General features: G+C 35.3%; 1 protein-coding gene across 6 annotated transcripts in view; it reads left to right on the top strand.

Annotated features, from left to right (window-relative positions):
- Positions 1–13,560, top strand: part of ATR (ATR checkpoint kinase) — a 129,499-nt gene that overhangs the window by 111,503 nt on the left and 4,436 nt on the right. For all 6 annotated transcript variants that reach the window (NM_001354579.2, XM_011512925.2, NM_001184.4 and 3 more), the window contains 6 exons: positions 698–907; positions 1,991–2,134; positions 5,141–5,291; positions 7,848–8,004; positions 8,120–8,273; positions 9,476–9,627. In NM_001354579.2, the coding sequence (NP_001341508.1) occupies positions 698–907; positions 1,991–2,134; positions 5,141–5,291; positions 7,848–8,004; positions 8,120–8,273; positions 9,476–9,627 (968 nt within the window). The remainder of the gene's footprint in view (positions 1–697; positions 908–1,990; positions 2,135–5,140; positions 5,292–7,847; positions 8,005–8,119; positions 8,274–9,475; positions 9,628–13,560) is intronic.

Raw genomic sequence — 13,560 nt, 5'->3', positions numbered from 1 at the left:
GGTGGTTATAAGGAGGGAGAGAGAAGTTCTTTAATAAGGTACATAGCTAGACTTCACTTGACAAATATTCAGAGTGCATCAGTGTTTATAGATGAAAAGATACAGACTATTTCTCACCTTTCCTTTATCAATAAACATCTCAAAAGGGTAATCTGCATTTATTATCTCCATTAATCCCATTTGACCTCTGATGCACTTGACATTATCAAAAACAGTGTTATGGTGGCCAACATTTATTAAAACACTAACACTGTTGTAAGTGCTTTACATGTACAGGTTTCCAGTTCTTTATCTGAAACCTTTGTGGCAAGCTACACTTAGAAATTTAGGATTTTTAAGATTTTAGTGCATATTTAATATTTGATATTTCCACTGAGGGTAACCTGTTGGAGTATCCCATAATCAAACACATAACTGTTTCTTCAGTGAGAGTTTAATTTACAGAGCTCTTTGGATTTTCTAATATTTGATAATAGATTATAGGCCTCTACTCTCTCCTTTAATCATTAAACAATCCTATGATGTAGGTACTATTATTAATGAGGTAAATGACAGAGGTTAAAATGGGATGATTAGGAAATACTTAGAAAACCACAGACTGCTGAACCTTTGTAATCAAAATATTGTAAAAGTGAAATTTTTGTTATAGTGGAATTTAAGGTAAAAACAAATTAAAATGCACTATTTATTTTTTCAGGTTGATGGAAGTAGTTCCACATTAAGCATGAGCACTCATTTTAAAATGCTTAAAAAGCTGGTAGAAGAAGCAACATTTAGTGAAATCCTCATTCCTCTACAATCAGTCATGATACCTACACTTCCATCAATTCTGGGTACCCATGCTAACCATGCTAGCCATGAACCATTTCCTGGACATTGGGCCTATATTGCAGGGTTTGATGATATGGTAAACTTCAGTTTTATATGACTATGATTTTAAAATTTAGTTGTTAAAAACTTCAAATTAAGATAAAAAGTGTATTTCACAAAATCTACGTGAATCTTATTTGTGAAGAAAAATAATTGGAAATACAGAAGAGTAAAACTAAACTCATTTGTACTGATGGCAAAAAAATTCAGTGATTAAAAAAAGTTCTGATTCATGATTCACATTCACCGTAACGTTTTGATTTTTCAAATGCTCCTGTTGTTTTAGTATGACTATAATCTTTATTTTTTCACAATTTGATTTTTCTTTTCTTTTCTTTTTTTTTTTTTTTGGAAACAGGGTCTCATTCTGTTGCCCGGGTTGGGTGGAATACAGTGGTGCGATCTCAGCTCACTGCAACCTCTGCCTCTTAGGCTCAAGCAATTTGCTCACCTCAGCCTCCTGAGTAGCTGGGACTACAGGTGCATGTCACCATGCCCAGCTAATTTTTTAAATTTTTTGTAGATACGGGGTTTCGTCATGTTGCCCAGGCTAGTCTTGAACTCCTAGGCTCAAGCCATTCTCCTGCTCAGCCTTCCCAAGTGTTAGTGTAACAAACATGAGCCACTGTACCCAGTCTATGCTTTGTTTTTAATTTAAGCAGTATTATTCATCTTATTTACTCACTTCATTAGGTACACTTAATTTTGAAGGAGTTTGTTTTTTCAAAAATCAAACTACTTTTAATTGATAAAGCTTGAAAAACAGAGTCTCAGGCTCCGCAGAAAGATCCTGAAAAGATGTTTCAAAAATCTTTTAAACATTTTGACTGCTTTGAAGGGGGGTGTCTAAATTTGAATATGTAAGTACTTGTATTGGCGATGAAGTAATCTTTTTATGTCATAGCTATTTTTAATGGGTGAAAATGTTTCTGTTCATAGACAGTCATTCTTTTCATAGGTCATAGATAATTAAAATAAAAGATTTTTAAAATACAAATTCACTACATAATATAGCTGGTAATATTCTTTTTTTTTTTTTACATAACTCAAGGTTTATAATATATAGACATTTACACAGAAATTTTTGGCCCTAATTCATATATAACTCATCATCTTTTAGGTGGAAATTCTTGCTTCTCTTCAGAAACCAAAGAAGATTTCTTTAAAAGGCTCAGATGGAAAGTTCTACATCATGATGTGTAAGCCAAAAGATGACCTGAGAAAGGATTGTAGACTAATGGAATTCAATTCCTTGATTAATAAGGTTGGGAGATAGTTTGCTTTTATTTTATTTATTTATTTTTTATTTTAAAAAAATTTTTGACTATTATAAAACCAGATTGCTTTTATTTCAGAGTTGCTATAATTACTATCAATCTGATATAGGCATTTTAGTATACAAACAGATCACTCTTAAAAAGCAGGAATGAAATATAAAGTCTTTTTCATTTTCACTTAATTTTTTTATTGAGATAAAATGTACATACATAAAACTTAACATTTGACAGTTTTTGAAGTATATTGTTCAGTGGCATTAAGTACATTCACATTGTTGTACAACCATCACCACCATCCCTCTCCAAAACTTTTTTCATCTTCCCAAATTGGAACTCTGTGTCTATGAAACAATTAACTTCCTATTTCCCTTCTCCTCAGCCTCCAGCAGCCACCATTTACTTTGTCTCCATTAATTTAACCATTTGAGGTACCTCATATAAGTGCAGTATTTCTCCTTTTATGACTGGCTTAAATCACTTGGCATTATTCAAAGTTCATTCATTTTACAGCATGTGTTAGAATTTTCTCCCTCTTTAAGCTGAATAATAGTCTATTGTTTTCCATCCACATTTTATTTATCTATTTATCCAGTGATGGACATTTGGATGCTTCTACCTTTTGGCTATTGTGTTAATATATTTATCAAAAGATAAATAGGCTGGGTGCAGTGGCTCATACCTGTAAGCCTAACACTTTGGGAGGCCCAGGAAAGAGGACCACTTGAGGCCAAGAGTTTGAGACCAGCCTGGCCTATATAGTGAAACCCTGTCTCTACAAAAAATAAAAAAAATTAGCCAGGCATGGTGGCACATGCCTGTAGTCCCAGCTACTAAGGAGGCTGAGGCAGGAGGATTGTTTGAGCCCAGGAGTTTGAGGCTACAGTGAGCTATGATCATGCCACTGCACTCTAGCCCAGATGACAGAGCCAAGACCCTGACTCTTATAAATAAATAAATAGATAAATAAAAGGTAATCATTAGCATTTTTTCAGTTCTGTTGGTATTTGATTTCTATCTCAAAGATGATATGAGGAATCTTATTAAAGGGTTATTATAAATGTATGGTTTTATGTATTTTGAATTATTCTGTAACCAGGTATTTGTAGATGCATAGTGTATGTCTTTTTCCATTGGTAAAAATTGATCTATACTGTGGAAAGATGAAACTTTATTATTTTTCTACAAGCTTTTTTTCCCTTCTTCTCATTGCCTTCCCACATTTTAAAGTCATAGATCTTTAGCATAGAAAAGATATAGCAGTAGATGAGTTTGTTTTTTAAAAAAAGTTATAGTCTGCTTGGTTTAACCAAAAGTAATTTAAAAATTAATACCACATTAAAAAGCTATTTCAAAAGCAATATGAAAAGGAGGATTATTTTTTATTTTAACATATTATTTGGGCTGGGTGTGGTGGCTCATGCCTGTAATCCCAGCTGAGGCGGGCAGATCACTTGAGGCCAGTAGTTCGAGACCAGCCTGGCCAACATGGCAAAAACCTTTCTCTACTAAAAATACAAAAATTAGCCAGGCATGGTGGTGTACGCCAGTATTCCCAGCTACTTGGGAGGCTGAGGCATGAGAATTGGTTGAGCCTGGGAGGCGGAGGTTGCAGTGAGCCCAGATCGTGCCACTGCACTCCAGCCTGGGTGACAGAGTGAGATTCTGTCTCAACAACAACAACAAAAAAGTATTGTTTGTTAAAATGGTACCTTAATTCACTAACTACTGAACCATTAGTATGTTCTCTCCAAAGCTCCCTGAGTTTTTCTGAGTATCAGATTTACTTGAGTATCAAGTGGCCTGGCTTTAGTTTATAAATTTACATTAATCAGCTTTGTTACTTTAATTAAAGTATTTTGTTACATTTTCCCTCATAAACATGGTAAAATAAAATAGCCTGACATACTAACTTAGTTAGTAACATATTTACTAACATAGTTTTGTAAAAAACTATGTTAGTTTTGGAGGCCACACACTGATCTTTATATGAGATTCTATGGCCATATTGTTTTCCTGGTAGTTATGGAACCTATTTCCTAAAGTAAAATGTATTTTTGATCAGTGATTGTGCTTTTGAATTGAGCAGGTTACAATTACAGATGTGTGCTTACTTCATACAGGTCTAGAATTAAACATAATACTGTTTATTTCCACCTGATATATCAGGATCAATCAGATGAAATATGTAAGGCTTTCTTCTGCTAAGGGATAGCTTTAGAAATAAGGTTGTGATAAACCGCAAGAGGAGCAATACATTTTGAGGATGTCATAGAACTCATGCTCTTTTGTTTATGTATTTTAGAAATAATTAAAATTGGCCGGGCACAGTGGCTCATGCCTGTAATCCCAGCACTTTGGGAGGCCGAGGCAGGCGGATCACTAGGTCAGGAGATCGAGACCATCCTGGCTAACACGGTGAAACCCTGTCTCTACTAAAAATACAAAAAATTAGCTGGGCGTGGTGGCAGGCACCTATAGTCCCACCTACTCGGGAGGCTGAGGCAGGAGAATGGCAAGAACCCGAGAGGCAGAGTTTGCAGTGAGCCGAGATTGAGCCACTGCACTCCAGCTTGGGCGACAGAGCAAGACTCCATCTCAAAAAAAAAAAAGAAAAATTAAATAGCAGTCTCTGTGCCTAAAGACTTAATGTTTCAGTAATACCTATAAAGCAATAGAAAATAAAACAGCAGCATTTTGTCATTGTTAAATATACAACTTAAATATTTTAAATACAATATTCTTGTCACATTAATAGTGAATAATTAAAAAGAAGGACCTACCCAGGACATTTTTAATAATCTGTAAATAGATTAGAGATACTGTCCCAGTAGCTTCCTTCCTACCATTCAGAAGAATTATTCATGTATACCACATAGTAAGCCTTCAATGACATTCTTTGGTTATGAAATGAACAATCTTTAAATATATTTGATATAACATTTAGAAATTTTGAGTTCTATCTTGTTTTTAAATTTATGTGTATTTTTTAACAGTGCTTAAGAAAAGATGCAGAGTCTCGTAGAAGAGAACTTCATATTCGAACATATGCAGTTATTCCACTAAATGATGAATGTGGGATTATTGAATGGGTGAACAACACTGCTGGTTTGAGACCTATTCTGACCAAACTATATAAAGAAAAGGGTACTAAAATTAATTCTTATACATATACAGTGTGGGTACTAAGTTATATAATATGGGTATAATTGGTATTAATATATGCTAGCATATGTTTTTTGATATAAGCTATAGTGAAATTTCTAGATTTTATATACAGAAACACTTAAGTGTTTCCATCCCTTCCTTCCTTTCTTCCTTCCTTCCTTCCTTCCATTTTGATTCCTTCCCTGTCTTCATCCCAACAGGATTTGAGGTAGCTTACAAAACTATATATGAATATTTGTTTTTCACAGATATTGGTTAACAATTCTGAAACTATGTATATACAGTACTAGTCTTCAGCAAGTAAGTAAATATGTTGTATAATGAGAGCCAGTTTTCTCACTATTGGAGAAAGGAAGGAGAGAAGGCTAGAATGAAGTCTGACGTTTTAGATTGGAATAAGAGGCTCCAACTGTCCAAACCTGGGATAATTTGAGTAGCAAAATAAATAATGATTGTAAACTATTATAACCCATGGAATAAACAAATAAACATGAGTCCATACTGATATAAACAGATATTTGAGTAAATAAATAAATAGGGAAGTGGGAATAGTTCTTCCTTATGTACTAATAGAATTTCAATGAATAAATGTAGAAAGGATGATGGAAATGGGAAATCAGCAATTAGCAAACACTATAGTAATTATTATTGCAGGCAGTGATTATTAATGGATGCTAAAATTAATAGGCAAAAGATGAGAAACAGGTTATTTGAAGAATCTTGAAGTATCTCCCTATCAGATACTTAACAATTATAAAGGGAAAAGTATAGTAACTTTACAGTAGAGAAATATAAATATAACTGGTCCGAACTCCTTACAAATGTCAAAGTAATGAATTCCCAGATTTGATGACATTAAGGAGTTGACATTTGATGACAACTAAATGTAATGTGTAATCCTGGATTGGATCCTGACCCCTAAACAAAGTGTGCTAGTGGGACAGCTGGTGAAATTTGAATAAGGTCAGAGGTTTGGTTAATAATACTGTAATAATAAGAATTTCCTGATTTGAATAATTGTACTATTGTTACGCAAGATATGAACATTAAGGAAAGCTGGGTGAAGAATATGTGGGAACTCCGTATCATTGATGCAACTTTTTGTAACATCTAAACTTGTTTTAAAATAAGACGTTTTTAAAGTTCATATGGTGTAATACATTAAAAATGAATAGATCAAGTTGTCAAAGTGAAGTAGAAAATAAGTATATGTTTTCATACATAATTTGTATGGTATTTGCCATAACAAATTACTGCAAACTAAGCGAGTTTAAACAATAGAAATTTATCATCTCACGGTTCTGGAGGCTAAAGATACAATATCAAGTTGTCATTAGGACCATGATCTCTCTGAAGGCTAATGTTCCTTGCCTTTCTCTTAACCTTCTGGTGTTCTGTGGCTTCTGGATGTATTGTACCACATTGCCTTTATTGTTACATAGCATTCTCTCTATGTCTCTGTGTCTCTATTTTCTCATAAGAACACCAGTCACTGGATTATTGAATTAAGGGCCCACCTTAATGACTTTATCTTAACAACATTACATCTGCAAAGATCCTGTTACTGAATAAGCTCACATTCCCAGGTACCAAGAATTAGGATTTCAGCATATTTTTTTGAGAGATAAAGTTCAATTTATAACATTAAGTAATACTGATAAATCACTATATAATGGGTATTGTGCCAAGTATGTTATGTACATTATTTTATTTATTATTGTTAACACGCCTGATTATCCATCCCTATTTTATGGACAGTGCCAGAGAACTTACGTAACTTGTCTAAGTTCACAGTTGCAAAACTGAAACTCAGAGACACTTGAGTCAGAGTTCAAAGAACTTGCTGTTGACTATTTTATTTATGAGCATGACATATTGTATATGTCTGAGTTTGGATTTGAAAATATATTTTTTCTTGATAATTTGTGTCAGTGTAAAAAATATATGTATATATACATATATATTGATATGTACACATATATGCAAAATAAGTTCATTCATATGGGACTTAATTTTGAGTCTTGTATTCTGGAACTATTTGATTTCACAACACTGGTTTTAACTGACATTAATTTTCATCAATAAGAGGCTTCACTTGGGTAAGTACGGTGGTCCCTCCTTATCTGGAGGATTGCTTCCAGAATACCCTCACATACCAAAATCCACACATACTCAAGTCTCAGTCAGCCCTGCAGAACCTGCATGTATGAAAAGTCAGCCTTCAGTATATACTGATTTTACATCCCATGTTTTTGATCCATGTTTGGTTGAAAAAAATCACATGTAAGTGGACCCACACAGTTCAAACTCATGTTGTTCAAGGGTCATCTGTATTAAGGGAAGATAATGTGGTTTATTATTTTATTATACAATCAGTAACTTTATGTATGCTTAATTGAAAAATGTTCCTTTATTCTTGTTTTTCAATAACAATTTGAATAAAAGTAGATGTTTCTTGTCCAATTTTAACAAAAAAAACTTTGCCCCTTTTTTCATTTGGCTGATGTGATTAATGGATATCACTCTTCCTTGCAGGAGTGTATATGACAGGAAAAGAACTTCGCCAGTGTATGCTACCAAAGTCAGCAGCTTTATCTGAAAAACTCAAAGTATTCCGAGAATTTCTCCTGCCCAGGCATCCTCCTATTTTTCATGAGTGGTTTCTGAGAACATTCCCTGATCCTACATCATGGTAAGTTACCAAGAATATAATACGTTGTTATGGTTGAATGTTTATTTTTAATATTTTAGATTTATATTGGCCTCATATGTATATGGATATTTCATAGGCATTGTGTTTCTTTTAGGTACAGTAGTAGATCAGCTTACTGCCGTTCCACTGCAGTAATGTCAATGGTTGGTTATATTCTGGGGCTTGGAGACCGTCATGGTGAAAATATTCTCTTTGATTCTTTGACTGGTGAATGCGTACATGTAGATTTCAATTGTCTTTTCAATAAGGTATGTGATATGAGTTACTCTTACTAATTGTGTTTTCTCTCAATTTCCTTTTCTCAACAACTGTATCTTCCTTGACATACCTGTTAGTAGCAGTTATACTCACAGTTGAGTTATACTGAGAATTTGTTGACTAGTTTTCATCAGTGGATCATGTAGTAATGCGTATTAGGATGGAGAGAACTTAGAAGAGTGATACTGTAAAGCTAGTACTGAATTTGAAGTCCAAGAGCATAGGTTTAGGTTCTGACTCAATTAGTTATTAGTTATGTGAATAAGGGCAGATCAGTTCATTTTACTGAGACTCAGTTTTAGAGAGACAGAGTAGTTTAATACGATAGTTTCCAATTCTAGCAACATATCAGAATTATCCAAGAATTAAAAAAAAATTTATAGATACCCAGGAGATTCAGATTCTGTAGGTCCAGAGTGGGACCTGGGAATAAATTGAGGCAATTGGACCCATCTTTAAGGCCCCCTACAATTTTCCAATATTATAATCCTGCAGGGCAGACTGGTAGGTTAGCGCACTATTTTCTTCACCTCCATCATCTACAGGTTGCCTTGTGCTGTCACAAGAAACCAAGAAAGATCATAGATCCAACTGAGAACAAATCAGAGATAAAATACTGGCATGGGTTAAACCATACAAGAGAGGAATTTAGGGTAACTGATTGGACAAGGGATGAAAGGTCCCTAGAAAAGGCAGATTAGAGGACAGCAGAAAATGAACAACTGGACTTCATTATATGACATGTTTTATTTCCTTTATGAGGGGATGTGAGCATCTGACCCTTGGCTGCTTCTGTTGTTTTAAGATGAAAGTGTTAAAGAAAAGTAGAAATATATGAGAATATTTGTATTTCATATTATTCAAGAAAGACATTAAAGAAGTTAATATGAGACTAAATATTGAATGCATAAAATTTCTCTGTAATACTGCTTATTCACTGTACTAAACTCAGTGAAAGGTAAGTCCACTTATCTCCTAGATCTTATCCAAGATCAAGTATGGTTTCAGTTCTGTAAAAGCAAAGGCAGAGCTACATGGCTCCTTCATGTTACAAACTTCTAAAGTAATTACAACATAAATATTTTGAGGGTATTTTTGCTTTTTGCTAAAAGAATCTGGACATGAAGTTCTTTGAGTAAAGATTTTTAAATTCTAACATTGTTAGTTTGTAATAAAATGTATTGTTTCTAAGGGAGAAACCTTTGAAGTTCCAGAAATTGTGCCATTTCGCCTGACTCATAATATGGTTAATGGAATGGGTCCTATGGGAACAGAGGGTCTTTTTCGAAGAGCATGTGAAGTTACAATGAGGCTGATGCGTGATCAGCGAGAGCCTTTAATGAGGTAATCACCTATACTTTGTAAATAATTTAACAGTAACCTCGAATATAATTATTGGCCCCTACATATGTTTGTTTTTATGTAGAAACCACTTTGTACTGACTGAAATAGTTTTTTTAAATAATAGCTTTATGCAGATATAATTTATATACCATAAATTCACCCCTTTAAAAGTACATAATTCAGTGGTTTTTAGTATATTCACAAGATTGTGCATCCATTACCACTATCTAATTTTAAAACATTTTCATCAGCCCAAAAAGAAATTCCGTAGGCATTAGCAGTCACTCCTGATCCCTTCCCCCTCCCACCCCTGCTATCTACTTGTAACCACTCATTTATAATATTTTCTGTCTCTATGGATTTACCTATTCAGGACATTTCATATAAATGGAATCATCTAATATGTGGCCTTTTGTGTTTGTCTTCTTTCACTTAATGTAATATTTTCAGTGTTCATCATGTATCAGTACTTCATTGTTTTTTATTGCCAAATGGTATCCTGTTATATGGATATACTACATTTTCTTTTTCTGTTCATCAGTTAAGAGACATTTGGATTGTTTCCACCTTTTGTGTATTATAAATAGTGTGGCTGTGAACATTGTGCACAAGTTTTATGTGGACATATGTTTTCAGTTCTCTTGTGTATACCTGGGAGTGGAATTGCTGGGTCATATGTTAAATGCTGTACTTAACATTTTGAAGAACTCTCAAATCATTTTCCAAAGCAGTTGTAACACTTTATAATCCCACTAGTAATGTATGTGGGTTTCAACTTCTCTGCATCTTTTCTATCTTTAGATAACATCTTTATCTATCCTGGTTATTGTCTGCCTTTTTTATTTTAGCCATTCTAGGGATGTGAAGTTGTATCTCATTGTGGTTTTAATTTGCACTTCCCTAATGACCAGTGATGGTGAGCATCTTTTCATGTCTTTGTTGGCCATTTGTAGATCATCTTTGGACAAATGTCTATTGAAATCCTTTGCCCACTTTTAAATTGGGTTTTTTTATTCTTTTTTTTTTTCCTTTGAGACAGGGTTTCGCTCTGTCACCCAGTCTGGAGTGCAGTGGCGTGATCTTGGCTCACTGCAACATCTGCCTCCTGGGTTCAAACGATTCTCGTGCCTCAGCTTCCTAAGTAGCTGGGACAGCATGTGTGCATGAGCCACTATGTCTGGCTGATTCTTGCATTTTTAGTAGAGATTGGGTTTTACCACGTTGGCCAGGCTGGTCTTGAACTCCTGACCTCAAGTGATCCTCCCACCTTGGCCTCCCAAAGTGCTGGGATTATAGGCATGAGCCACCATGCCTGGCCTATTCTTGAGTTGCAAGAGTTTGTTTCTTTGTTTGAGACAGAGTCGCCCAGGCTGGAGTGCAGTAACGTGATCTCCACTCACTGCAACCTCCGCTTCGTGGGTTCAAGTGATTTCCCTGCCTCAGCCTCCCCAGCAGAGAAGGGGTTTTGCCATGTTGCCCAGACTGGTCTTGAACTCGTAAGCTCAAGCCATCCACCTTCCTCAGCCTCCCAAAGTGCTGGGATTACAGGCATGAGCCACCCCGCCCAGCCAAGTTGCAAGAGTTCTTTACACATTTTGGATACAAGACCTTTTAAGATATGATTTTCAAATATTTTCTTCCATCTGTGGGTTGTCTCTTCACTTTCTTTGATGATGGCCTTTGAAACATAAAAGTTTTAAATTTTGATGCAGTCTAATTTGTTTTTTTCTTCTGGTTATTTTTGGTGTTTCTGTTGTCATATCTAAGAAACTATTCCCTAATCCAAAGTCATGAAGATTTACACCTATGTGTTCTTCTAAGCATTTTTGACTTTTAGCTCTGCTATTTAAATCTTTTATCTGTCTTCAGTTATTTTGTAGATATGGTGTAAGGTAGGGGTCCATATTCATTTTTTTGCATGTGCATATCCATTAGTCACAGCACCATTTTTTGAAAAGAATATTTTGCCCCTCGTTTAATTATCTTGGCTTTTTTGTTGAAATGGTCAATTGATTTTCAGCAATATTCTGTTGATCTATATGCCTAACCTTATGCTAACAACACAGTGTTTTGATTGTTGTACCTTTGTAGTAAATTTTGAAATCATAAAGTGTGAGTGTTCCAACTTTGCTTTTTTTCCCCCAAGATCATTTAGCTATTATGGGTCCCTTGTATTTCCATATTAATTTTAAAATCAGCTTGGATTTTGATAGGAAGGACATTGAATTTGTAAATCAATTAGGGAGTATTGCTGTCTTAACAATTTGGGAGTATTGCTGTCTTAACCATGTTAAGTCTTCTGATCGATGAACATAGAATGTTTTTCCATTTATTTGAATTTTATTTTTTTCATCAATGTTTTGTGGTTTTTAGGGTCAAGTTTTATATTTAACTTTTAAAAATTGTATTCCTAAGTATTTTATTCCTTTTGATTTTATTCTAAATGGAATTTTTCTTAATTTCATTTTTGGATTGTTCATTGCTAGTGCATAGATATATAATTGATATTTATATATTGATATTGTATCTTACAATCTGCTGAATTCATGTATTAGTTCTAATAATTATTTTTGTGCCTTCCTTAAGATTTTCTCTCCACAATAACATGTCACCTGCAGATACAGTTTTTCTTCTTCCTTTTTAATATCAATGCCTTTTATTTCTTTTTCTTGCCTACTTGCCCTAACTAAATCAGTGTCGAATAGACATGCTAAAAGTGGACATCCTTGTCTTGTTCCTGATCTTAGGGGTAGAGCAGTCAGTCTTTGACTTTTAAGTATGATGTTAGCTGTGGGAAACAGATTGTTTGAAAGGACTTTTAAAGCTTATTTATTCACCTTCATTATTTAAAAGCTGTCTATCGGGCCGGGCGCGGTGGCTCACGCCTGTAATCCCAGCACTTTGGGAGGCCGAGGCGGGCGGATCACGAGGTCAGGAGATCAAGACCATCCTGGCTAACACGGTGAAACCCTGTCTCTACTAAAAATACAAAAAATTAGCCGGGCGAGGTGGCGGGCGCCTGTAGTCCCAGCTACTCGGGAGGCTGAGGCAGGAGAATGGCGTGAACCCCAGGGGGCGGAGCCTGCAGTGAGCCGAGATTGCGCCACTGCACTCCAGCCTGGGCGACAGCGAGACTCCGTCTCAAAAAAAAAAAAAAAAAAAAAAAGCTGTCTATCAGACATTATGGTAGAATACTGGTTAGTTGGACATATGCAAAAGCAAATTCTCTGAAATAGGAAGTATATCATCATGTGGAACAGTTACCAAGAGCCCCTGTGTTAGTCTGGGTCAGTCAAGAAATAATTTCTGGAGGAAGTAGTTGAGACCTTAAAAGTTAATAAAGTTGACCATGCAAGGGAGAAGAGAGTGTTCTGAGTGATAAAAATATCAAGGCAAGTGAAGTCATGGCCTGCCTGAGAAATACAGTATGTATTCCAGAGGGTATACTTCCAGGAGGTGGTGCTAAGAGATGACGCAGGACAGGTAAGCAGGGGCTAGATTATGAAGGTCTCACATGGGGCCTGTTACTACATTATAACTTTGCCTGCAGAGCAACCAGAAGTCATTGAGGATTTTAAGAAGGAATAAAAAGGGGGCAAGGGGTGGAAAGAGATAATCTGATTTGTACTGTAGAAAAAATAGGGTCCTAGTTTGGGCCAACAGCCAGAAAACTAGTTAGAGGTTTATTGCAGTAACCCAGGAAAGGATGATGGTGTACTGGATAGTGTCACGGCCGTAGAGACGGAGATAACTGAAGAGATTCCAAAGAGATTTAGGAGTTGTAATTGCATGTTAGAGGAAGACGGGGTGAGGATGATTCCTAGATTTTTGTCTAGGGCAAATGGGTGGATGATGATTTGGGGAATACAGGAGAAATAGTTGGGAAAAGGTAATTAATTTTATTTTGGAGATACTGAGTTTGAGGTGTTTGGA

The sequence above is a fragment of the Homo sapiens genome, chromosome 3 (genome assembly GCF_000001405.40).
Source record: "Homo sapiens chromosome 3, GRCh38.p14 Primary Assembly".
In the NCBI taxonomy this organism is placed as follows: domain Eukaryota; kingdom Metazoa; phylum Chordata; class Mammalia; order Primates; family Hominidae; genus Homo; species Homo sapiens.
This window is presented reverse-complemented; position numbering and strand designations above follow the sequence as displayed.